This window comes from Homo sapiens, chromosome 5 (assembly GCF_000001405.40).
Source record: "Homo sapiens chromosome 5, GRCh38.p14 Primary Assembly".
Lineage (NCBI taxonomy): Eukaryota > Metazoa > Chordata > Mammalia > Primates > Hominidae > Homo > Homo sapiens.
Window position 1 is genome coordinate 151,704,874 of NC_000005.10, and position 26,401 is coordinate 151,731,274.

The following is a 26,401-nucleotide window of genomic DNA, read 5'->3' on the forward strand; positions in this document are numbered from 1 at the left end:
AGATTAAATGAACCATAAGAATAAAGTGTAGGCCGGGCGCGGTGGTGGCTCAAGCCTGTAATCCCAGCACTTTGGGAGCACTTCAGGTGGATCACCTGAGGTCAGGAGTTCAAGACCAGCCTGACCAACATGGTGAAACCCCGTCTCTACTAACAAATACAAAAATTAGCTGTGTGTGGTGGCTGGCACCTGTAATCCCAGCTACTTGGGAGGCTGAGGCAGGAGAATCCCTTGAACCCGGGAGGCAGAGGTTGCAGTGAGCCAAGATCGCGCCATTGCACTCCAGCCTGGGCAACAAGAGTGAAACTCTGTCTCAAAAAAAAAAAAAAGAATACAGTGTAAAGCACGAGCTTCTTTGTAGCCTGATTCAAGGCAACTAAATTTAAATAGGCATTTTTCAGAAAACAGAAAATTTGAACACAGACTGAGTATCGAATGATATTAGGGGATTACTTTTTTCTCCTGTTTTTTTAGAGGCCTTGCCTTGCAATGTCGCCCAGGCTGACCTCAAACTCTTGGGCTCAAGCAATCCTCCCGTCTCAGCCTTCCATAGCTAGGACTACAGGCGTGCAGCACCACAGATGGCTAATTAAGGAACTACTTTAATTTTGTTAGATGAGATGAGGGCGATGTGGCTATGTTGAAAAGAAAGACCTTATCTATTAGCTATAGATACTGAAATATTTATGGGTATCATGATATAATATATGGGATTTATTTTGAATTACTCCTGGGAAAAGGTATGTGATGGGGGTGGGTATGTAAAATAAACTGATAGAAGGTTGATAGTAATTCAAGCTAGGTGATGGTCCATGGAAGCTTAATTATATTATTCTCTTTGGGGTGTGCTTGAAAATATTTATAAAACAATATAACAATATCAAATTAAATTAATGCTATTAGGGCCAGTCATGGTGGCTTATGCCTGTAATTCTAGCACTTTGGTAGGCTGAGGCGGGCGGATCACTTGAGGTCAGGAGTTTGAGACTAGCCTGGCCAACATAGCAAAACCCCATCTCTACTAAAAATACAAAAAATTAGCTGGGCGTGGTGACGGGCGACTGTAATCCCAGCTACTCAGGAGGCTGAGACAGGACAATCCCTGGAACCTGGGAGGTGGAGGTTGCAGTGAGCTGAGATCACACCCACTGCACTCCAGCCTGGGCAAAAGAACGAGATTCCATCTAAAAATAAAATAAAATAAAATAAAATTAATTAATTAATGCTGTTAGTTGTGAGGGCTCTAGGAAAGATTAGCAAGTGTTAGAAAGGTGTTAGCAACTTATTAGCTCCAAACTAAGACTTTCTCCTCTTTATGATCAGAAGCCTTGGAAAAGGCTATTCTTTATTCTTTTTTTTTTTTTTTTTTAAGACTAGTCAAGTGCAAGTGCAGGCCAGGCATGGTGGCTCACCCCTCTAATCCTAGCACTTTGGGAGGCCAAGGCAGGAGGATTGCTTGATCTCAGGAGTTCAAGACCAGCCTGGGCAACACAGTGAGACCCTGTCTCTGCAAAAAAATAAGAAAATTAGCTAAGTCTGGTGGTGCCCACCTGTAGTCCCAGCTACTGTGGAGGATCTGGTAGGAGAATCCCTTAAGTTCAGGAGTAGGAGGCTGCAATGAGCCATTCACTGCACTCCAGCCTGGGTGACAGAGCAAGACCTTGTCTAAAAAAAAAAAGACTTGGCCAGGCACAGTGGCTCACGCCTGTAATCCTAACACTTTGGGAGGCCGAGAGACGTGGATCACAAGGTCAGGAGTTCAAGACCAGTCCGGCCAACATGGTAAAACCCTGTCTCTACTGAAAATACAAAAATTAGCTGGGCGTGGTGGTGGGCACCTGTAATCCCAGCTACTTGGGAGGCTGTAGCAGAGAACTGCTTGAACCTGGGAGGTGGAGGTTGCAGTGAGCCAAGATCGTGCCACTGCACTCCAGCCTGGGCGAAAGAGTGAGACTCCGTCTCAAAAAAAAAAAAAAGAAAAGAAAAATAAAAAGACTTTAAAAGGAAACAATTTGGTCACTATGTGGATTCAGTGTTATATAATGCTGAAATAATCTACCCAACAAAAATATGCTAAGCATTCTACCTTGGGAAGCCTGGTATTGTAAACCCAGGGATTGGGGAGGGGAGACATGGAATTTAATTCTCACTCAGTTATGATCTCACTAGGAGTCACCTTGCCCTGGTTCCTTCTTCTGTAAAGTGGGAGAAGTTAGACTAAAAGACCTCTAGGTCTCCCTCTCTGAAGCTGTGATTCAGTAAATAATGAATAAGTGTCTGACTCATTCAATTATCCAACAATCATTTATGAAACACCTACCATTTACTGTACTGGGTGCTGGGATGCAGCTGGGCAACCTCCCTGCCTACATAGAGCTTATGGTCTAGCTATAAATGTACCATTTCATTTTTTTTTTTTTTTTCTGAGATGGAGTCTCACTCTGTTGCCAGGCTGGAGTGCAGTGGCATGATCTCGGCTCACTGCAACCTTCGCCCCCCAGGTTCAAGCAATTCTCCTGCCTCAGCCTCCCAAGTAGCTGGGACTACAGGCATGCACCACCACACCCAGCTAATTTTTGTATTTTTAGTAGAGACAGGGTTTCACCATGTTGGCCAGGATGGTCTTGAACTCCTGACCTCAAGTGATCCACCCACCTCAGCTTCCCAAAGTGCTGGGAGATTACAATAAATGTACCATTTCTAAGAGAATGTTAGCTATTCAGAAAAATAGATACTGGCCTAGTAGCACAGTTTGGAAAAAATATGGAGCTGTTTTCTCCCAGATCTCGTGCCTATTTAATTGTCCTGACTCTTCCTCCACAGGCCATCTGTGTTTTAGAACAGCTGGGAGGAACAGCTGTTGCCTCCCTGGGACAGAGAATGCAATGCACGAACTGTCCAGGCTGCAGGACATTCTTATCCCTGAAGCTGGGGGTAGAGTCATTTGAGACAAACACAGGCCCTGAGCATGGGAGGAGTGGTCCTGCAGAGGGAAACCCAGGTGCTGTTACTGGAGGAAGGATCAATGGATGCCAAGGGACAAAAGGCACCAGCCCACTACCTTTCTTATCTCACTATTTCACTGCAAGTGTGTACTAGAATAAAGATACCAAACTTTCTCATTTCCTCTGAGGAGAGAAGCATTAAAAATCCAATTATACTTTTCAATTTATCCCATCAACAGGAATCAGTTCAAAGAACAAATGGTTTTAACTTCTCTATCCCAGTTTTCTCCTTCTTAGAATGGGCACAATGGTGCCTATACTTATACAGTAGTGAGAAGATTCAGGAAGAGAAATTCCTATAAAAGGTTTAGCACAATGCCTGGCACATAAAAAAGCCTCAATAAATACCAGTGATTTTATTACCTCTTGTCCACTCAACCCAATTAAGCAACTTCCTGGCTTGCCCAGGCATCCTGGAGTGTGACCTTCCTGTTGATTCTCTGTGGCTCCTGTTTTTATCCTCCCCATAGAACCCAGCAAACCCAACCTTGGCCCTGGTCATTTAGCTTATGGCCTATGAGTCATTCTCTGGGTTGAATGGCCCATGCTTGGGGCTTGCTTGGGGCTCCCAAGAAACCAGTTAAATTCTTGTTTATGAATGTTCTTTGGAATACTAATAACCACTAAAAAAACAAACAACAACAACAAAAAACACAGCTAACATGCTAGAATGGATCTAACCCATAGTTTTTCTTGAAGACTTTCCCAAATTCCCTTGGCAGACACACCCAGTGCTTCTCTCCATTAATACTAACCACAGGGCATACTTACCTGCCTTGCTTTAACCTGTCCTAGTTCTCCTAATCTCATCTAGAACAAATTATTTTACCTTTGGTTTTAAAGAGGCACTTCCTAGAACCTCCCTAACCATTCTAAATCCTTTACAATTCAACATTCAGTGGTTTCCCATTCCCCATGGGGTCAAAGCCAGAATTCTCAGCTCACCTCCAAGACCCTCTAACATCTGACCTCAACTCCCGCCATGATCAGCCTGTACTCGATTCTCACTTTAGAGATTATTCCCTATAAGAGCACTTAGCCACCTTGGTTTTTTTCAAGTTAACAAATACTTGTTGGGCTTTAGACAAGTTTTTTTCCTCTCTGTATAATTTGATAGAAATTTCAGGTGTCTCCAGGGATAAGGCAGATGTTAATGATATAGGAGTTAAGAATAAATTATTTTAAGTAGATAGCGAGGATATGGAAGTCCTCCTCATCCTTTTAATGAAAAGCAGCCCACAAATCATTTTCTTTTCTAACAAAGAGCAGCCTATAAAATCGAGCTGCAGACATTCAAAGGCAAGCTAGAAGCTTGCACGAGTGAATGCCAGCAGTTGTGCCAGCAAGAAAGGGCTACCTGGGGACTAGGCATGTTCAAAATGACAGCTCCATCTTTCCTTTTCCTTGCCAACCACGTGTGCGGTAAGGAGCAGACAACATGGCGCCCACCAAGTGGCAAGCTCATTTGCGTAATAAGCAAGATTAGGGTCGGGTGGACAGCTTCCTAGCGCTATGTAAACGTCATACCGAATCCAACCAATCTGTGGGCAATATGTAAATCAGGGACTGCCTCCTCAAGCCAGTCTATAAAATCTGGTGCACTCCTCGCAGCTGAAGTCCCACTGGGGCACCTCTCTCCTTCACAGGATAGAGAGCTATTCTCCTTTCTCTTACTTTTGCCTATTACATCTCAGCTCCTAAACCTACTTCTTGTGTGTCCATGTACTCAATTTCCTTGGCGTGAGATGATGAACCTCAGGTGTTTACCCAAGACAAACGATGCCACTTCATTAAGATTTGGTAATGTAACCCAGTTTCACACAAGAAGGTGGGGAAGATAGACACCAGAGACTGGGAAGAGTGGGGGTGGCGGGGGGTGGGGGATAAATGGAAGTTGGTTCTGGGTGCAAACAGAGTTAGATGGAAGAGACAAGTTATAATGTTTGACAGCAGACTAGGGTGACTATACTTCTATACTTGGCAACAATATTATGTATATTTCAAAGGAACTAGAAGAAAGAACTTGAAATAATACCAACACATAAAAATGATAAACACACAAGGTGATGAGACCCCAATTACCCTGAGTTGATCATTACACATTCTTTGCATGTAAGAAACACTCACGTGTACCTCACAAATATGGAAATTATTATGTATCAATAAAAGGGAAAGAACAAAAAGGGTAAGGTAGAGCCTGTGGTAAACTGAAGAGTAGCAGCCCTGTCTACAGACATTCAAATTCAGAATGTTTAACAATAAAGTGATATCCAAACAAAACACATCTATTAGTCTGGGACCTGAAGAAGATCACAGCTATCAAACTCTTTAATAATAGTTTCCCAATTCCAAATGAAATTATACACAGAATCCCATTTTTAAAAGTAGTCATATTTTATCAACTTAAATTTATTTTGTTATGTTTATATGCTTTCTAAAATATTATTTTATGTGTTTTAAAATTTACTTAAAATGTATGTAAGTGTATATATGTTTATATTGCCATCCAAAAGACCACCAGGACACAAAATAGTAGAAAGGAGAGGTTTTTTTAATTGTTAATTTTTGTGGGTACATAGTAGGTGAATATATTTATGGGTTACATGAAATATTTTGATACAGGTACACAATACATAATAATCACATCAGTGTACCTGGGGTATCCGTCACCTTAAACATTCATCCTTTGTGTTACAACAATCCAATTATACTCTTTTAGCCATTTTCAAATGTACGATTACATTATTTTTTACTAGTCACCCTGTTGTGCTAGCAGATATGCCTTATTCATTCATTCTGACTTTTTTTTTTTTAAACCCGTTAACCATCTCCACTTCCCCCTAATTCCCTCACTACCCTTCCCAGCTTCTGGTAACCATCCTTCTCTATCTCAGTGAGTTCAGTTGTTTTAATTTTTAGCTCCCACAAATAAGTAACAACATGCAAAGTTTGTCTTTCTGTGCTTTGCTTATTTCACATAACATAATGACCTTCAGTTCCATCTGTGTTGCTGCAAATGACAGGATCTCATTCTTTGTTATAGATGAATAGTACTCCATTGTGTGTATGTACCACACTTTTAAATATCCCCATGTCTGTTGATGGGCACTTAGGTTGCTTCCAAATCTTGGCTATTGTGAATAGTGTTGCAGTAAACATGGGAGTGCAGATATCTCCTCCATATACTAATGTCCTTTCTTTTGGGTATATACCTAGGAGTAGGATTGCTGAATCTTATGGTAGTTCTAGTTTTAATTTTTTGAGGAGCCTCCAAACTGTTCTCCGTAGTGGTTATATTAATTTCCATTTCCTTCAACACTATATGAGGGTTCCCTTTTCTCCATATCCTCACCAGCATTTATTATCGTCTGTCTTTTGGATGAAAGTCATTTTAACTGGGGTGAGATGATATCTCATTGTGGTTTTGATTTGCATTTCTCTGATGTGCAGTGATGCTGAGCACCTTTTCATGTACTTGTTTGCCATTTGTATGTCATCTTTTGAGAAATGTCTATTCAGATCTTTTATTTTTTTATTTTTTATTTTTTGTTTTTCTGAGACGGAGTCTCACTCTGTCGCCCAGGCTGGAGTGCAGTGGAGCGATCTCGGCTCACCACAACCTCCACCTCCCATGTTGAAGCGATTCTCCTGCCTCAGCCTCCCGAGTAGCTGTGATTACAGGCACCTGTCACCACACCTGACTAATTTTTTTGTATTTTTAGTAGAGATGGGGTTTCACCATGTTGGTCAGGCTGGTCTCAAACTCCTGACCTCATGATCCGCCCGCCTTGGCCTCTCAATATTTTCTTGTAGTAGTTTCATAGTTTGAGGTCTTAAATTTAAGTGTTTAATCTATTTAGATTTGACTTTTGTATAATGTGGGAGATAGGGGTCTAGTTTCATTTTTCTGTATGTGGATATCCAGTTTTCCCAGCACCATTTATTGAAGAGACTGTCCTTTCCGCAATGTATGTTTTTGGTACCTTCATTGAAAATGAATTTGCTGTAGATGTATGGATTTATTTTTGGATTCTTTGTTTTATTCCATTGGTCTATATGTCTGTTTTGATGCTGTTACTGTGCCATTTTGGTAACTATAGCTCTATAGTATAATTTAAAGTCAGTTTGAAGTATACTATAGAGTTATAGTTTTACTATAATTGTACTGTAGAGCTCCAGTTTTGTTCTTTTTCTTAGGATAGCTTTGGCTATTCTGGGTCTTTTGTAGTTGCATATAAATTTTAGGACTTTTTTTTCTATTTCTGTGAAGAATGTCATTGGTATTTTGGTAGGAATTGCATTAAATCTCTAGATTGCTTTGCATAGTATGGACATCTTAACAATATTGATTCTCCTAATCCATGAACATGGAATATCTTTTAATTTTTTTGGTGTCCTCTTCAATTTCTTGGATCAGTGTGTTATAGTTTTCATTGTAGAGATTTTTCACTTTATTGGTTAATTCCTAGGTATTTTATTTTATTTGTAGCTACTGTAAATGTCATTACTTTATTGATTTCTTTTCAGATCGTTCACTGCTGGCATATAGAAATGTTGCTGACTTTTGTATGTTGATTTTGTGTCCTGCATCTTTATTGAATTTATCAGCTTTAATAGTTTTTTTGTGGAGTTTTTATGTTTTTCCAAATACAAGATCATATCATCTGCAAACAAGGATAATTTGACTTCTTCCTTTCCAATTTGGATACCCTTTATTTCTTTTGTCTGATTGCTCTAGCTAGGACTTTCCAATACTATGTTGAATAACAGTAGTGACAGTGGACATCCTTGTCGTGTTCCAAATCTTACGGAAAAAGCTTTCAGTTTTTCCCCATTCAGTATATTAGTTGTGGGTCTGTCATATGTGGCTTTTGTTATTTTGAGGTTTGTTCCTTCTATACCCAATTTTTTGAGGGTGTTTATCACGAAGAAATGTTGAAATTTATAAAATGATTACATTGCTTTTGTCCTTCATTTTCTTGACATAATGTATCACATTGATTGATTTGCATATACTGAACCATCTTTGCATCCCCGGGATAAATCTCACGGGGTCATAATGAATGATCTTTTAAATGTGTTGCTGAATTTAGTTTGCTAGTATTTTGTTGAGGATGTTTGCATTAATATTCATCAGGAATATTGGGCCCTACTTTTCTTTTTTGCTATGTCTTTGTCTGGTTTTGCTATCAGGATCATACTGGCCTCAGAATGAGTTTGGAAGTATTCCCTCTTCCCCTGTTTTTTGGAATAGTTTGAGTAGGATTGTTATTAGTTCATTAAATGGTTGGTAGAATTCAGCAGTGAAGTCTTCAGATCTTGGGCTTTTCTTTGTCGGGAGACATTTTATTATGGCATTGATCTCGTTACTTGTTATTGGTCTATTCAGGTTTTGGATTTCTTCATGGTTCAATCTTGGTAAGTTGTATGTGTCTATGAATTTATCCATTTCTTCTAGATTTTCCAATTTATTGGTGAATTGTTGCTAATAGTAACCACTAATGATCCCTTGAATTTCTTTCTTTCTTTTTTTTTTTTTTTAATTGATCATTCTTGGGTGTTTCTCGCAGAGGGGGATTTGGCAGGGTCATAGGACAATAGTGGAGGGAAGGTCAGCAGATAAACAAGTGAACAAAGGTCTCTGGTTTTCCTAGGCAGAGGACCCTGCGGCCTTCTGCAGTGTTTGTGTCCCTGGGTACTTGAGATTAGGGAGTGGTGATGACTCTTAACGAGCATGCTGCCTTCAAGCATCTGTTTAACAAAGCACATCTTGCACCGCCCTTAATCCATTTAACCCTGAGTGGACACAGCACATGTTTCAGAGAGCACAGGGTTGGGGGCAAGGTCATAGATCAACAGCATCCCAAGGCAGAAGAATCTTCCTTAGTACATAACAAAATGGAGTCTCCTATGTCTACTTCTTAATACACAGACGCAGCAACAATCTGATTTCTCTATCTTTTCCCCACATTTCCCCCTTTTCTATTCGACAAAACCGCCATCGTCATCATGGCCCGTTCTCAATGAGCTGTTGGGTACACCTCCCAGATGGGGTGGCAGCCGGGCAGAGGGGCTCCTCACTTCCCAGACGGGGCGGCTGGGCAGAGGTGCCCCCCACATCCCGGACGGGGCGGCGGCCGGGCGGAGGCGCCCCCCACCTCCCTCCCGGACGGGGCGGCTGCGGGGCGGAGACGCTCCTCACTTCCCAGACGGGGTGGCTGCCGGGCGGAGGGGCTCCTCACTTCTCAGACGGGGCGGCTGCCGGGTGGAGGGGCTCCTCACTTCTCAGACGGGGCGGCTGGGCAGAGACGCTCCTCACCTCCCAGACGGGGTCGCGGCCGGGCAGAGGTGCTCCTCACACCCCAGACGGGGCGGCGGGGCAGAGGCGCTCCCCACATCTCAGACGATGGGCGGCCGGGCAGAGACGCTCCTTACTTCCCAGACAGGATGGCGGCCGGGAAGAGGCACTCCTCACTTCCCAGACTGGGCAGCCGGGCAGAGGGGCTCCTCACATCCCAGATGATGGGCGGCCAGGCAGAGACGCTCCTCACTTCCCAGACGGGGTGGCGGCGGGGCAGAGGCTGCAATCTCCACACTTTAGGAGGCCAAGGCAGGCGGCTGGGAGGTGGAGGTTGTAGCTAGCGAAGATCACTCCACTGCACTCCAGCCTGGACAACATTGAGCACTGAGTGAACGAGACACCGTCTGCAATCCCGGCACCTCGGGAGGCCGAGGCTGGCAGATCACTCGTGGTTAGGAGCTGGAGACCAGCCCGGCCAACACAGCGAAACCCCGTCTCCACCAAAAAAATACGAAAACCAGTCAGTCGTGGCGGCGCGCCCCTGCAATCGCAGGCACTCGGCAGGCTGAGGCGGGAGAATCAGGCAGGGAGGTTGCAGTGAGCCGAGATGGCAGCAGTACAGTCCAGCTTCGGCTCGGCATCAGAGGGAGACCGTGGAAAGAGAGGGAGAGGGAAACCGTGGGGAGAGGGAGGGGGAGGGGGAGGGATCCCTTGAATTTCTGTAGTAATAGTTGTAATGTAGCCTTTTTCATCTTTGATTTTATTTATTTGAGTCTTCTCTTTTCTTAGTCTGGCTAAAGGTTTATCAATTTTGTTTATCTTTTCAAAAAGCCAGCTTTTTGTTTTGTTGATCGTTTGTATTGTTTTCTTCATTTCAATTTTATTTACTTATGTTCTGATCTTTATTATTTCTCTTCTACTAATTTTGGATTTGGTTTGCTCTTGCTTTTCTAGTTTTTTGTTTTTGTTTTTGAGGCAGAGTCTCACTCTGTCACCCAGACTGGAGTGCAGTGGTGTGATCTCTGCTCACTGCAACCTCTGCCTCCCAGGTTCAAGTGATTCTCCTGCCTCAGCCTCTGGAATAGCTGGGATTACAGGGGTGCGCTACCATACCTGGCTAATTTTTGTATATTTTAGTAGAGACGGGGTTTCACCATGTTGGCCAGCCTGGTTTCAAACTCCTTGCCTCAAGTGATCCTCCCACCTTGGCATCCCAAAATCCTTAGATTACAGGTGTGAGCCACTGCCTGGCCAAAAACATATGATTTTATATATTTTTTAAAACCAGTCAATAAGAAGAATGATCACGAAAACTTGAATTGAAACCAGAGTTTGGATGACAATTATAGCTTGGATCAGCCTCAGCAGCCAATTTATTGCACAACAATTATTTTATCAGATGATACTGAGAAAATACCAACTTATAGGTATGCAGTTGTAAATGGCCACTGTTTACAAATAGCTCACCTTGCAACACAGCATATTGCATTTTAGCAGAGAATAAAAGAGAAGCTTTATTCCAAGATCTGCACAAACATGTGTTAACCTGATAGCACAAAGATGACAGAGTAGTTGACCCCCAACCTCTCACATTTTATACACGTTTCTTTCCCAGCAATAGAAATCCTGATTTTTAATTGGGTGCATGAAAAACATAATTTTAAAATAGCATTCCCCAATCTGCTTTGCAGTTAGGTATGGTCATTTAACTAAGTCTGGCCAAAAGAATATAAGCAGTAGTGTTATATGCAATTTCTGGGAAATGTCCTGCTGACAGAATGCAACTGAGATGGTTGGAGTTTGAATAGCCATTTGGAACATGAGGTTTAAACCCCATGTTGAATGTGGCAGAGCCACAAAATATAATCAGTCTAGATCTCTCATGAACCCAGAACCACAATCTCAGCCCTTGATTATTTGCATCCAAATTTTATTTGTGTGAGGCCAAAACAAATTTTTGTATTGTTGAAGACATTGCTGTTTTGTTTTCTGTCACTTACAGCTGAACCTGACTGATAGAAAAGCTAAACTGATGAAGCCTTCAGATACTTTTTTTTTTTAAGACTCTCACTCCGTTGCCTACACTGGAGTGCAGGGGTGATCATAGCTCACTGCAGCCTCGAACTCCTGAGCTCAAGTGATCCTCTTGCTTCACCTTCCTGAGTAGCTGGGACTACAGGCTTGTGTCACCATACCTACTATTTTTTATTTTTTATGGAGACAGGCTCTCACTATGTTGACGAGACTGGTCTTGAACTTCTGGTATGAAGCAATCCTCCCACCTTGGCCTCCCAAAGTGCTGGGATTACAGGCATGAGCCACCTCGTCTAGGCAAGTATGTTAAAATTTGATATGTAACATTTATAAGTGTGTCTGTAGCTCCTTATTTAAGATTTCCAAGCAAGCCTCGTATCTAAAACTGTAGTTCTTAAACTTTTGGTCTCAGAGTCCCTTTATTTCCTTAAAAATTATTATTAATTCCAATAAACTTATATTTAGTAGTTTTTAATCTGTCAATATTTAATGCATTGGCAATTAAACAGAGAATAAGTCCAGGCACAGTGGCTCATGTCTGTAATCCCAGCACTTTGGGAGGCCGAGGCGGGAGGATCATGAGGTCAGGAGATTGAGACTATCCTGGCCAACACAGTAAAACCCCATCTCTACTAAAAATACAAAAATTAGCCAGGCATGGTGGCGCGCGCCTGTAGTCCCAGCCACCTGGGAAGCTGAGGCAGGAGAATCGCTTGAACCCGGGAGGTGGAGGTTGCAGTGAGCTGAGATTGCACCACTGCATTCCAGCCTGGGCAACAGAATGAGACTCCGTCTCAAAACAAAAACAAGGCTGGGCACAGTGTCTCACGCTTGTAATCCCAGCACTTCGGGAGGCTGAGGCGGGTGGATCACCTGAGGTTGGGTGTTCAAGACCAGCCTGGCCAACCTGATGAAACCCCATCTCTACTAAAAATACAAAAAAATTAGCTGGGCATGGTGGCAGGCGTCTGTAATCCCAGCTAATTGGGAGGCTGAGGCAGGAGAATCTCTGGAACCCGGGAGGTGGAGGTTGCAGTGGGCCAAGATTGTGCCATTGCATTCCAGCCTGGGCAATAAGAGCAAAGCTGTGTCTCAAAAAACAAAAAAAAAACCAACATTATTTTAACCAAATGTTTAGGGAAGCTCTGATACACTTTCAGTGATTTAAATATCTCTTAATAGGATGATGTCTAAGATTCTGCAGTAGATGTTTGTTTATGATTTATTGAGTTTGATTTGGGGCCACCAGCATCCATTTCCCCTTCTCGGGAACTGTGCCTTGATTTTCCTCTTGGGCAATACCCTCTCCTACACTCTTAGCCCCACTTAGAAAAAGGGCATGTGACTAGCCTACGCCATGCCATTCCCCAGGGCCACAGTAACTCTTTCAGGGACGGACATGAGATGGGATATAGGACTGCAACAGAGAATCTGGCCTTCTCCTGGGCTTGACTAGGAATGCATGTGAGATCCCAAGTAGCAGGAGCCTCCCTGAGACCACAGGGGAAGGCTGCATGAACATGAAGCCAACAGGAAAGAGAATAGAGTGGAGAGACAGACAGACAGACAGAGAGAAACAGAGACAGCAGAGAAACAGAAAGAGAGAAAGAGAAAGAGACAGAGAAACAGAGAGAAACAGAGCCAGACAGAAAAGGGCAGACAGACAAAGAGAGACAGAGAAAGAGAGACTAAGAGAGAGAGAGAGAGAGAGAGAAAGACAAAGATAGAGACAGAGACACAGAAAGATACTCATGGGACACTGGTCCAAGCCCCTAAGCTAGCCTGGGGCAGACACTGTTATTTGTCTGCTCAACATCCATTCTCCTCTTCTGCCTAATCAACAGACCCTCAATTCTGCTTAGGGAGCTCTGTGTCCATCTCAAAATACTAATCTTTCTAGACTCCTTTGCAGTGCAGAGAGGCCATGGGACATGCTTCTCACCAATGAACTTGTAAGCAGAAATCAGTGCATGGAGCTTCTGGGGAAGCTTGTGAAAGAGGGAGACTTTGCTTTTTGTCCCTCTTCTTCCTTCTTGGATGGCATATGTAAGACAAAGTGGAGCCACAGGAGAATGGAATCCACAAGGAAAGGCTGACAGAAGGAACTGCAGCCTGATGATGGCATGGACCCAGCGTCATCCTCAGATGGCCAGATTGCTTGCAAAGTGGTATAAAAGCTGCTGGAATCAGGTTTCTGTGACACACAGCAGAGTGCAATCCTATGTAATATACAGCCCTGCTCCTGGACTTTTTCTTTCCATAAGCCTTTTTGCTTATACTGGTTTGGGTTGGGTTTTCTATCCCTTTCAACAGAAGAAATCCATTTCTGACTCGGAGGAGACATCCTGTTTACTCAACAGGTAAATGTCTCACATCTATGAGACAAGGTGAACGATAATTGTCCCTTTAAGAGAAAGAAGATGATATTCCTTACGTGTGGCTGCAGGGGAACATTAAAGCAGGAGGTGGAGAGAGAAAAGGAATGTAATGGGGTGAAGAGGAGCCTTACGGAGAGCAGAAAGTTTCTTCTGGCTTCAGAACCGAGCTGATGCAGTGTCTGGGGCTGCTGTCTGGGTCACAAAAATAATTTGGATGACTCTGTGGCCAAACTATGTAGGGGAAGCTCCTCCAACTTTTAGCAAACTGTAGTTGGCCCTTACTCTTTTGAGGCATGTGAAGAACTACATTCTTCAAGGGGCTGGGCCTCTTCAAGACTTTTTCTCTTTCCTGGAGAGGGCCAGGGAGGTGAGTGGGGGAAAGACTAAGCATCAATGTGAGCATGAGAAAATTCTGGAATCAGTAAGATCTCAGTTTTTTTGTTTTTTTGAGACAGAGTCTTGCTCTATCACCCAGGCTGGAATGCAGTGGCACAACCATAGCTCACTATAACTTTGAACTCCTGGGCTTAAGTGATCGTCCCGCCTCAGCCTCCCAAGTAGGTGGGCCTACAGGCACATGTCACCACGCTCAGCTAGTTTTTAAATTTTTTGTAGAGACAGGGTCTCACTATCTTGCCAGGGCTGGTTTTGAACTCCTGGTCACAAGCCATCCTCCTGTCTTGGCCTCCCAAAGTGCTGAGATTACGGGCATGAACCAGTGTCTGGTCAAAATGGAGTTTTTTGTTTTGTTTTTGAGACAGGGGTCTCGTTCTGTTGCCCAGGCTGAAGTGCAGTGGCACGAACATGGCTCACTGCAGCCTCAACCTCCCAGGGTCAAGTGATTCTTCTACCTCAGCACCCCCTAGTGGCTGGGACTATAGGTGTGCACCACCATGCCAGTTAATTTTTAAATTTTTTTAATAGAGCCTGTTGCCCAGGCTGGTCTCTAACTCCTGGGCTCAAGCAATCCTCCTGCCTTGGCCTCCCAAAGTGCTGGGATTATAGGCGTGAACCACTACACCCAGCCTGAAATGGAGTTTTCTATGAATTATTAATTAGATCCCTTTTAATACTCTTAGAGATATAAAAATGAAGATTGTAGCACTTTTAAATGATTTGTAACTGTAACACTTTGTTTTCTTCAATGTGGCTCTTCACAGACTGGGCCATGTGAAGCTTTGGGATTTCCCAGGGTCATGTTCTTTACAGAGGCAGGAGGTCAGCTCTACTGGTTCCCTCACACTGTTTCAACTTCCCTGCCCTCTAAACAGGCTGCACAGCATCCTCCAGCCCCAACTATCCTCTCAGAAGAGTTGTCGGAATAAGGACAAAAACAACACCCTCTGTCTCTAGGTCCTTCTGGAATGTCTTCTAAGATACAAAGTCTCCTCTCAGGCCCGTTAGCTCATCCCACCCTCCCTCCACCTCTGTCTGGATTAAAAGCCTTCTGTGCTGGAGGACAAGGAGAATCCTGAAGAGCCAACTAGCTGAACTGCTAGAGTTGCTCCAGTGATTCTCCAAAGTGCCTCTTATCCTGAGACTTTCCTGTTGTCCAGGAGACCCAATGGATGTTTCCCCCAGCCCCTTTGCCTAGGGAAAAGTAAGTGATAGCAGGCAGGAAGGCCTTGCTGCTGTAGTGCCACTGTGCACAACCTAGAAAGCTGCAGCAAAGAGAGACTTGAAGGTTGCTTGGGCAGCTCCCAGAGATGGCACTGCTTTTCAGGGAAGTTGTGTCTCAGGTAGTGACTATTTGGGCCAGTGCTACGCAGGTGGTAGAAAGAATTTACCAAGACAGTTGTAGGTCAGCAAAGCAGATTTGTTAGAGGAAGTATGAAAGTATGTTGCAAGGGTGCAATGGGTAAGTCAGCAAGAGAGTAGCTGACTGCAAGGAGTCAAAGGCTTGCTGGGGATTTTTTAGGATGGTGCTTGTGCTGTGTGCTGAAGAGGGCTTTGTACAGTACAGATAATGCCAAGGTTGCAGTGAGCTAATGTACATTATTCTATCAGCCGAGGTGTCTGGTGATAGTTGGGCACAGGAAGATTGTGAGTTATTTGCACAGGAGGGCTATGTGTCCTGGACCATGAAGAAAGGCAGATGTATAGCTTATCTACTTTTTCTTTTTTCTTTCCCCTGCTCCCACCAGCCTGACTCCTTTTCCCTAATTAGGACTCCACAGGTTGTGGTCCCCACTACCTAGGGTCATAACCTTTGCAGGTTTTGAAGCTCCGTCTGATCAGTTTGCAGTGTTGGGGGATTGCTGCACAGAGAAAGACAGATGCTCCTGGAAAATACCAACATGTCCCATCCCCCTCATCTGGAGGATGAGCTTTTGCACTAGCAGAAAGTTTGTTTCTACACCTAAAGCCATATTATTCCCTATGCCAAGGTGTTGAATTAGACATCAAGAGGTTGATGAAGGAGTACAGAATTGGAGCAAAGGGTGATCTGAAGGGATGTGACATCTAAGTGGTGTGATGAAGTGTTCCTGCTCCCATAGTAAAGTCTGTCCTCACACAGTGGGAGGCAGTAGTTCTTAGCATAGAGGCTAAAGTGTAGTCTCTGCCGTGCATTGTATGCATTCAAATTCTGATCTATTCTGAGTAACAATGTGGCTCTGGGCAAGCTACCTTTCTAGGTTGCAGTTTCATCTGTAAAATGACAAAAAAGAAAGTATCAGAACAAGTTGGTACTAGGCCCAGTCCTGCTATAAGTTGCTGGTCACGTCAAGTAAATCTCTCAGCCTCTCTGGATCCATGCTTCCTCCTCTGAAAAATGAAAAGGGTTGAATCAAGGGTAGACTCTTCTACTACAACAATCTCTGAAACTGTGGAGGGAAAGTCTGAGCCACTCCCCACTAAGAAGCTGTTACTGCTTGGATGCCTGAGTTTTCAATGCCTCAGTAAACTATACCACCTCTGGGGAACTCCCAGCCCAAGGGGGAAGACTGCTGAATGACAGAGCGCTTTTCATGATACTTGGCTAGGGCTGTGCTAACTTAAACAATGAGCACAGTTCTCAGTCCTGAAGGTAACAAGAACACCCTTGCCAATCTCCAGAGAGGAAAACCTCTGTAAGCTCATATATGTGGGCAGGACTTCCACAGAATTCTGGAATGTCAAAGCTGGAAAAGCTCTCAGGGAGTTTCTAGTTCAGGGGTTTTAAGTCACATTCTGTACTTCTGCAGTTCCACAAACTATTAATATTCACCTTATTTTGTATACCAGAGACTGCATTTAAAACTGTGGCTGCAAAACAACAAAGACACCTAAATCAGTCATCTGTCAAATGTGAACACATCAGAGACCAAAATTCATTTATACATTGTGGCAGATTTTGCTAGTGGTCCCCTTTCCCTTTGTTGTAGAAACTACACTTGAGTGGGGCCATAGTGCCCTGATTAAACTACATCTCCCAGCCTTCCTTGCAGATAGGTAAGGCAGTGCAGTTAAGCTTTAGTCAGTGGGTTGTAAGCAAAGGTTGTGAGTGTGACTTATGGGAGTTTTCTTCAAGTGAATGGGAATGCTCTTCTCATTCCTCTTCTAGCTAGCTCTAATGTGGACATGATGGCAGAACTCAATCAGTCATCTTGGACTTTGAATTGATAGAGAGAAGGAGGCTTGGTCCTGATGATCACTGAGTTACCTTGCTGACTCACTTCCCTACAGTGAGTGCCCTGGACTGCTCACCTCCAGATTTCATTTACATAAAAGAGACATACAATTCTGTCTTATTGAGGCCACTTCTATTTGGGGTTTTCTGCCTTTTGCAGCTAAATCTAATGGACACATTTGTGTTCTCAGTAATTGACTTTATAATGCATTCATAATATAAATATAAAAATAGCTTACTGAATAACCCTAAGGAAAACCACTCAGGTCAAGGAAACCACTCAGGTCAAAAAATAACATTTTGCAGCCACCCCAGAAGCTCTCTGTGTGCCCTGTCCCAATCACAACTACCTCCTTGCTTCTAAAAGCAACCTCTGTCCCAATTTGTATAGTAAACATATCCTGTTATACAGTAATGACATAACATTTCCTTAAAAACATTTTGGTCAGAGACTACTTTTATCTGTTTTATTTGAGATGCTCCTTAAGACTTTGCTTGACAGAAGGCTTCTTCTAATAAAAAAGTTGGCCAATAACTGAAATAGTCTGACCCCTTCATTTTACAGAGGAAGAACATGAAGTCAGAGAGGGGAAAGAACTTCCTTATTTTAAAACTGACAAATAAAAATTGTATGTATTTATGGTGTACAACATGATGTTTTGATGTATGTATATATGCAAAAGGATTTTCTAATGTCAACCAGCAAATTAGAGGTAGAGTGGACTAGAACTCATGTTCTCTCTGACTTTTTAACATTTTAACATTTTATTTTCCAATCCATTTCAGGGGAAGCAATCCTAGATACAAGGTACCAGCCTTGTGCAATGGCTCAAGGATGGGAAAGACTTGCAAATACAGTCTCTAGTACAGGACATTTTATCTTCAACAAACACAAAACCTGCCTCTTTCCACCCAAATCTCAGGGGAAGGATGCTACCAAGGATTCTGACAATGGTTCTTCCCAGATGGCTTTGCATTTTAACACAAACACATCAGCAAAGATGGAGTCAGACACAGAGTGACACAGTGGGGATGCCGATTGGATGAAGTGATCTTTGTAGGCCTCCTCAGAACCCTGCACCAGGGCATCTCCCCCATAGCTACTGTGTGCCCTGAGCCTGACACACAGAGGCCCTTGGAGATCACTGTGGCCAAGGGTGATGCTGAGTCTCGAGATCAGAGGTGTGAAATGCAGAGATGCAGGCGAGCCCCAGCTCTCTTTGCCATCTTTGCTAGACTGTTCTGACCAGCATGCGGCTGCACCTAACTCAATTTCTGGAGAATCCTTCATGCTCATGAAAGTCAATTATTTATTTATTTTTAAGACAGAGTCTCACTCTACTGCCCAGACTGGAGTGCAGTGACACAATCTCAGCTCACTGCAGCCTCCACCTCCCAGGTTCAAGCGATTCCCCCACCTCAGCCTCTAAGTAGCTGGGACTATAGGTGCCAGCCACCATGCCTGGCTAATTTTTTTGTATTTTTAGTAGAGATGGGGTTTGGCCATATTGGCTAGGCTGGTCTCAAACTCCTGTCCTCAAGTGATCCATCCCCCTCGGCCTCCCAAAGTGCTGGGATTACAGGTGTGAGCCACCACGCCTGGCCAAAAATCAATTATTTTATATTATGACAGATGCCCGTCATGCTTTTGTGTAGGACATGGCAGTGTCCAAGATAGCTCACTGGCCAGATTCCATAGCCTTCTTTGTCTCAGATTCTTGGAAGTTTTTGGGTCAGGCCTATTGGCTTCTCCCTTTTCCTATAGGTTAGAATTAGCAGACAACATTAGCAAAGATGTGACTGTGTGTTCTGTGGGGGAGAAAAAGGTGTTCCAAGGACTAAAAACTTGGGAAACAAGTTCATACTTTATCTCCTTTTTGAAAAGTCTCAATTACAGTATTAGTACCTTGAAGGATCTGCAAATTTCTACAGTAAATTATTTTGCTTGATTTTGATGGGCCTGGCATTTTTCAAACTTTTTTGGCTTTGAGACCTCATGTTTCACTAATAGCATTCTGCACGAAACAGTTTGGCAAATGATACTAGCCGCCTCTTTGATGGATAAAGGATGTATTAATACACATAGGATAGACAACATGGCTGGAAAATCACCTTTCTGGCCCAGGTAGCCATCCCTCTGGAAAAGTACTGCATTATCTCTGACTCTGTAAAAATCCATTTCTAATAGCCCCAAGAAGCCACTGCAGAAATGATCTAAACCAGTCTGGGATGGGTTCCCCAGGGATAGCTGGCTGGGCCCTACAGCCTGGCACCAGACTTATTGTACCAAGAGCCCTGGCCAGCCGGCAGCCACCCAGTGTGTGTCTTGACTTGTTTTTCCTTCCTTTCTCTCCTCCTTTTAGAAGACAGCTGAATGGTTCCAGTCTTTCAGTCCTGCTCCTGGCCAACACTGGACCTCTCAAAGTCTAGCCAACTCCTCTTCCAGCGCCTTGATAAACAACCCCCTCATGCTGGGAACCACAGCAGTGGGCTGTTTTTCTCCCTCATGCACCCCAGGAAGCCTCTCCTCTTTGCCTGGGCTTTCTTCCCAAGGCCTTAGCTGCCAACCCATTTTACACCCATGCGAAGCCCAGTCAGTCACCTGAAGAAAAGGAGACTCACAGAAGGCCCAAGATGAAAGACTCTTTAATCCTGTGGCTTTTTGAGTTTTGTTTTTAGCAGGAAGACCTTATTTTCAAAACAAATTGTTACACAGAATTTGCCAGTTTACAGAACAGATGAATAAAGACATTTATGGCAGACTTGTTTATTGTAGCACAACACTGGAAAGACACGAAAAGTCCATCAGTAAGGAACAGATTTAATAAGATGATGGTGAAGTCATACAATGGAATACTATTCTGCTGTCTAAAAGCGTGAGGCACCTCCCAACAATAATAGCACAAGTTCTGAGAAAATCTTTACTTTATATGGACAGTATTTGGTTAACAGTTCCATTTTAGGGCAAAGACCAAGATTACTACTTGTTTTGTTAAAATGTGCCACCTCCTATTCAAACTTGTCCAATGTTTATTTGGAACTTAAATATGGTGACCAAATATCCCAGTTTGCTTAGAACTGAAGGGTTTCCTGGGATATAGGACTTTAAGTGCTAAAACGGAAAATTCCAGGCAAAGGAATGAGTTGGTCACCCTATACTTAACAGAAGTCAACATGTTATTTTAGAAAGAATAGGTAGATTATTATTACTAATTTTAGCCCATGTTAATAAGCCAATATATTCACAAATAAAACAACCAGTATTTGTACTTTACTTATTTATTTTTATTTAATTTTTTTGAAACAGAGTCACACTCTGTTGCCCAGGCTGGAGTGCAATGGTGGGATCTCGGCTTACTGCAACCTCCGCCTCCCAGGTTCAAGCGATTCTCCTGCCTCAGCCTCCCGAGTAGCTGGGATTACAGGCATGTGCCACCAGGCCCAGCTAATTTTTATATCTTTAGTAGAGATGGGGTTTCACCATGTTGGTCAGGCTGGTCTCGAACTCCTGACCTCATGATCTGCCCACCTCGGCCTCCCAAAGTGCTGGGATTACAGGCATGAGCTACCACACCCGGCCAGTATTTGTACTTTAAATACGAGGGCAAAACCATATGAACTGATACGAAACATGAAACTATCTCAAGGTGCAGTAAAAAGTGGGGGAAAAGGCAAGTACAGAACAGTGAACTGAGTGTGCTCTCATTTTTTTAAGTTCTTTACTCTCTCTTTCCCCCACCCCCAAAGGTCAGAGCAGGGGGGGATTTGTCCACATAATAAAATGAAGTTTGTGACTTGTCTACTCCATCATAAGAAAATAGCTGGGCTGATTTTCACCAAACTTGGAGGATATACTTGGGGTGGTCTGACTTAAATACAGATTGTTTGGCATATGAAAATTGATCCTAGTAACCCTTCCTCCTGGAGAGGAAACTTGAAGAGATAAGCAGCCACTCCCCAAAGCTGACGCTAGTTTAACAGACAAGGCCTATGAGATCACCAATCAGAAAAGACTAACCAGGCCGGACATGGTGGCTCATGCCTGTAATTCTAGTACTTTGGGAGGCCGAGGCGGGCAGATCACCTGAGGTCAGGAGTTCAAGACCAGTCTGGCTAACATGGTGAAACCCCGTCTCTACTAAAAAAAAAAAAAAAAATTAGCCAAGCATGGTGGCAGGCACCCGTAATCCCAGCTATTTGGGAGACTTGAACCCAGGAGGTAGAGGTTGCAGTGAGCCGAGATCGCACCACTGCACTCCAGCCTGAGTGACAGCAAGACTCCATCTCAAACAAGAAAAGAAAAGAAAAGAAAAAAGAAAAAAAAGAAAAGACTAACCAGATAGCTTCAGGTCCGTTGACAGGGAAAACAAAGACTGGTTTCCAGGGAGTCTCCAAAATAAAAGCTCACAAAGTGGACTCTCCAGATGGAAGGCCTCAGTCTATAGGCTGCCTCCCACATGGGTGGGTGCAGTCAGATGTCCATGTGTGTAAAGATGGCTCATGGTTTTTCTGAATTAGCTGGGCATGGTATGTACCTGTAGTCCCAAATATGCAGGAGGGTGAGGTGGGAGGATTGCTCGAGCCCAGGAGTTTGAGGCTGCAGTGAGCTATGATTGTATCACTGCACCTAGGCAATAGAGCAAGTCCCGAAAAATGAAAAATGTTTTAAAGTGGTTTTTCTGAAAGGAGCAGCTCTTTTGGATATTAAGTCTTTCATTTACATAGACAATTCCTGAAAGATGCATATGAAATGGGTAATAATCAGTGTCTCCGAGGAGGAGAACCATGGGTCTGAAATGAACAGAATATATTTTTTATTATGCATCCTTTTGAGTTGGCAATATTTTCCATGTTTATATGTCAAGTCCTTTTTTAAAAAATTATATTTTAAACTTACAAAGAAACTACAGAGATAAAGTTAACACCTTCTGGCTTTGACAAATCTTAACATTTTGCAATAAATAGTTCAGACAGACCTCTGTTAATAAACAAAATGTGTGTGTGTGTGTGTGTGTGTATATATATATATATATATATATATATATATATATATATATATATGATTGAATCATATATATAATTGAAACCCAGTCCTATTCCTCATTCTCCCATACAAAAAGAAGTAAACAATACCTTACATTTGGAGTTTATCATTCCTATACATATTTTTTACTTTTAACACATATGTATGCCTCCCCAAATGATATATTTAGATTTTAAATTCTGACTGCTATATTGCCTGATGTATAAATACAGTGTGATATAATTACTGCTTTTATCTTTTCAGTCTCCTTTGGATGGATATTTGGGTTTTTTTTTTTTACAATTTTACATGTATGACTTTTTTTTTTTTTTTTGAGACAGACGCTTGCTGTGTCACCCAGGCTGGAGTGCAATGGCACAGTCTTGGCTCACTGCAGCCTCTGCCTCGCAGGTTCAAGAGATTCTTATGCCTCAGCCTCTCGAGTAGCTGGGATTACAGGCGTGTGCCACCACACCCAGCTAATTTTTGTAGTTTTAGTAGAGATGGAGTTTCACCATGTTGACCAGGCTGGTCTCGAACTCCTGGCCTCAAGTGATCCACCCATCTCAGCCTCTCAAAGTGCTGGGATTACAGGCGTGAGCCACCATTCTCAGCCTACATGTATGACTTTTGTGATTAAAAAAATAATGGGTGCAACAATAATCATCAATGTCTGCTAAAACCATGAGTTGAAGAGCTGATGGGGAGTTTATAATGGATGGACTAGGCTGACAACATCTGAATCCATCCATCCATCTTGATATTACACACAGAAAGACAAGCAGATATTATGTGCTGCCTGATATGATATAAGAGGATTTCATAGCACCGTCTATGAAAGATTGTCAGCAAAAAATCAAAGGTGGTTCTGATGAAGTATAAACCTAACCACCATTTTACAGGAACTTGAGGGGACTAAGGAACACATTGCATTATGGGGTGCACTCAGTAAAATCCAGAATTACAGAAGACCCTCCTGCACAGAAGACCCAACTTCCTCAACAGATAATTTGCGGAGAAAAACAAAAAAGGGCAGGAGTAGGGTTGCTACAGACTGAAAGACTTAAGAAACATCAATCAAATGCAATGTATGGACTTTGTTTGCATCCTGATTTGAACAAACCAAGGGCTTAAGAAAAGAATAAATAAATAACAATAGAGGAAATTTGAGCACTGGATATTTTATGATATTAAGAAATTTGTATTAACTTTTAGGTGTCATGATGGATAGGTTTTTTTTTTAAATCCTATCTCTCAGAAGAAATACAATAATACAAAAATTAGCCGGGTGTGGTGGTGTGTGCCAGTAGCCCCTGCTACTCAGGAGGTTGAGGCAAGAGAATTGCTTGAACTCAGAAGGCAGAGGTTGCAGTCAGCCAAGGTTGCGCCACTGCACTCCAGCCTGAGCAACAGAGCAAGACTCCATCTCAAAAAAAAAAAAAAAAAGAAAGAAAGAAAAGAAAAGAAAAAAGAAATACAATAATAAAATTAAATGATGCTGGTGTTTGTTTCAGAATAACCCTGTGTGGGGTGGGGGCGGGCAGTGGAAGATGCACCGAAACCGGCTATGACTTGGTAATTCTTGAAGCTGGGAGATGAGTGTATGGGGTTCATGATATTATTCACTTTACTTTCAGATATTTTTGGAAACTTCCATAATAAAATATTTAAATAAAATCCAGCTAGTTAATTTCTTTTTTTTTTTTTTTTTGAGATGGAGTTTCACTCTTTGTTGCCCAGGCTGGAGTGCAGTGATGTGATCTTGGCTCACTGCATCCTCTGCTTCCCGGGTTCAAGCTATTCTCCTGTCTCAGCCTCTGGAGTAGCTGGGATTATAGGCACATGCCACCATGCCCGGCTAATTTTTGTATTTTTAGTAGAGACAGGGTTTCACCATGTTGGCCAGGCTGGTCTTGAATTCTTGACCTCAGGTGATCCACCGCCGCGGCCTCCCAAAGTGCTGGGATTACAGGCATGAGCCACCGTGACTGGCCTCAACTAGTTAATTTCAACAAATAAGAGGTGTAGTCTTGGTAGGAAGATGCCAGGGGTTGGAGCCCCACTCTCAGTTCCTCCCTTTTCCCTGAGGTACCTGCACAGAGCCTTAGGTCTCTGTAGAACAGTTTGAAATCACTGATCTAGACCATGGATTATTGGGGGAACCAGCCCCCAATATTTCAATTTCGGTTCTTTATATTTTCCCTAAGTGTCGGCCAGTCTGAGAAATAAAGAGAAAGAGTACAAAGAGAGAAATTTTACAGCTGGGCCTCCGGGGGTGTCATCGCATATTGGTAGGACTGTGATGGCAACCCCAAGCCACAAAACCAGCAAGTTTTTATTAGGGATTTTAAAAGGGGAGGGGATGTACGAACAGGGAGTAGGTCACAAGGATCACATGCTTCAAAGGGCAATAAAAGATCACAAGGCAAGGGCAAAATTAGAATTACTGATGAGAGTCTGTGTCCCGCTGTGCATGCATTGTCTTGATAAACATCTTAACAGGAAACAGAGTTCGAGAGCAGACAACTGGTCTGACTAGAATTCACCAGGCTGGAATTTCCCAGTCCTAGCAAGCCTGAGGGCACTGCAGGAGACCAGGGCATATTTCAGTCCTTATCTCTACCGCATAAGACAGACATTCCCAGAGCGGCCATTCATAGACCTCCCCCAGGAATGCATTCCTTCCCCAGGGCTATCAATTATTAATATTCCTTGTTGGGAAAAGAATTCAGCGATATTTCTCCTACTTGCACATCCATCTATAGGCTTTCTGTGAGAAGAAAAATATGGCTCTATTCTGCCCAACCCCGCAGGCAGTCAGACCTTATGGTTATCTCCCTTGTTCCCTGAAAATTGCTGTTATTCTGTTCTTTTTCAGGGTGCACTGATTTCATATTGTTCAAACACATATGCTTTACAAACAATTTGTACAGTTAACGCAGTCATCACAGGGTCCTGAAGTGACATGCATCCTCAGCTTATGAAGATGACAGGATTAAGAGATTAAAGTAAAGACAAGCATAGGAAATCACAAGGGTATTGATTGGGGAAGTGATAAATGTCCATGAAATCTTCACACTTTATGTTCCGAGACTGCAGTAAAAACAGGCGTAAGAAATTATAAAAGTATTAATTTTGGGAACTGATAAATGTCCATTAAATCTTCACAATTTATGTTCTTCTGCCGCGGCTTCAGCCGGTCTCTCCATTCAGGGTCTGTGACTTCCCGCAACAATGGACAGACAATTTTCTTCTGAAAAGGGCAAAATAGTAAACAGTCTAGGCTATGTGGGCCAAATGGTCTTCGTTGCCATTCTCCAACTCAGCTGTTATAGTGTGGAAGCAGCCATAGATAATACAAAAATGAATATGACTGTGTTTCAATAAAACTTTATTTACAAAAACAGATGGTGGCTTGATTTGGCCTGCAGGCTGTCGTGTGCCAATCTTTGATCTAGACCAACCCCTTCATTTGTTTTATTATTATTATTATTATTATTGAGACAAGGTCTCAGTCTGTCACCCAGGCTGAGTGCCGTGGTGTGATCATAGCTTCCTGCAGCCCCAGTCTCCTGGGTTCAAGCAATCCTCTCACCTCAGCCTCCTGAGTAGCTAGGACTACAGGCAGGTGCCACCACCTGGCTAATTTTTAAAATTTTTTTAGAGTTGGGGTCTCACTATGTTGCCCAGGCTGGTCTTGAACTCCTGGCCTCAAGCAATCCTTCTGCCTTGGCCTCCTAAAGTGTTGGGATTACAGGCATCAGCCATCATGTCCAGCCTAACCCCTTCCTTTTAAAGTTGTGGAAACTGAGACCCAGGCGGTTAAAGTGGCTCAAGATCACACACACAAACACACACACACACACACACACACACACACACACACACACACACACCAAAAAAACCAGGACCTTGTGAAAGCAACTGCTGCAGATCCCAATCTTGACTTTAGGCCTGCGTATCTTGGTATTATGGGCAAATGAAAGCAAGCATATGGCAGGTGGGTGGAAGAAATCAGGGAAGCACAAGCTTATGTATCAGTTAGTGTTA

General features: G+C 43.0%; 11 annotated features.

Annotated features, from left to right (window-relative positions):
- Positions 6,554 to 6,653: a silencer, noted in NCBI's record as "silent region_16525". NCBI's record gives its function as "represses an Ori minimal core promoter by ATAC-STARR-seq in GM12878 lymphoblastoid cells {active_cell/tissue: GM12878}" and the evidence as "EXISTENCE:reporter gene assay evidence [ECO:0000049][PMID:35858748]".
- Positions 13,201 to 13,401: a silencer, noted in NCBI's record as "peak5542 fragment used in MPRA reporter construct". NCBI's record gives its function as "represses an SCP1 promoter by STARR-seq MPRAs in K562 erythroleukemia cells {active_cell/tissue: K562}" and the evidence as "EXISTENCE:reporter gene assay evidence [ECO:0000049][PMID:32103011]".
- Positions 14,395 to 14,689: a silencer, noted in NCBI's record as "tiled region #9564; K562 Repressive non-DNase unmatched - State 13:Ctcf". NCBI's record gives its function as "represses a minimal TATA promoter and a strong SV40 promoter by Sharpr-MPRA in K562 cells {active_cell/tissue: K562}" and the evidence as "EXISTENCE:reporter gene assay evidence [ECO:0000049][PMID:27701403]".
- Positions 15,621 to 15,730: a silencer, noted in NCBI's record as "silent region_16526". NCBI's record gives its function as "represses an Ori minimal core promoter by ATAC-STARR-seq in GM12878 lymphoblastoid cells {active_cell/tissue: GM12878}" and the evidence as "EXISTENCE:reporter gene assay evidence [ECO:0000049][PMID:35858748]".
- Positions 15,973 to 16,152: an enhancer, noted in NCBI's record as "active region_23461". NCBI's record gives its function as "activates an Ori minimal core promoter by ATAC-STARR-seq in GM12878 lymphoblastoid cells {active_cell/tissue: GM12878}" and the evidence as "EXISTENCE:reporter gene assay evidence [ECO:0000049][PMID:35858748]".
- Positions 16,223 to 16,482: an enhancer, noted in NCBI's record as "active region_23462". NCBI's record gives its function as "activates an Ori minimal core promoter by ATAC-STARR-seq in GM12878 lymphoblastoid cells {active_cell/tissue: GM12878}" and the evidence as "EXISTENCE:reporter gene assay evidence [ECO:0000049][PMID:35858748]".
- Positions 16,561 to 16,761: a silencer, noted in NCBI's record as "peak5543 fragment used in MPRA reporter construct". NCBI's record gives its function as "represses an SCP1 promoter by STARR-seq MPRAs in K562 erythroleukemia cells {active_cell/tissue: K562}" and the evidence as "EXISTENCE:reporter gene assay evidence [ECO:0000049][PMID:32103011]".
- Positions 16,743 to 16,812: an enhancer, noted in NCBI's record as "active region_23463". NCBI's record gives its function as "activates an Ori minimal core promoter by ATAC-STARR-seq in GM12878 lymphoblastoid cells {active_cell/tissue: GM12878}" and the evidence as "EXISTENCE:reporter gene assay evidence [ECO:0000049][PMID:35858748]".
- Positions 16,833 to 16,882: an enhancer, noted in NCBI's record as "active region_23464". NCBI's record gives its function as "activates an Ori minimal core promoter by ATAC-STARR-seq in GM12878 lymphoblastoid cells {active_cell/tissue: GM12878}" and the evidence as "EXISTENCE:reporter gene assay evidence [ECO:0000049][PMID:35858748]".
- Positions 17,221 to 17,421: a silencer, noted in NCBI's record as "peak5544 fragment used in MPRA reporter construct". NCBI's record gives its function as "represses an SCP1 promoter by STARR-seq MPRAs in K562 erythroleukemia cells {active_cell/tissue: K562}" and the evidence as "EXISTENCE:reporter gene assay evidence [ECO:0000049][PMID:32103011]".
- Positions 24,568 to 25,104: an enhancer, noted in NCBI's record as "OCT4-NANOG hESC enhancer chr5:151109002-151109538 (GRCh37/hg19 assembly coordinates)". NCBI's record gives its function as "activates a minimal SCP1, AML or CMV promoter by ChIP-STARR-seq in primed H9 embryonic stem cells {active_cell/tissue: H9 hESC(primed)}" and the evidence as "EXISTENCE:reporter gene assay evidence [ECO:0000049][PMID:30033119]".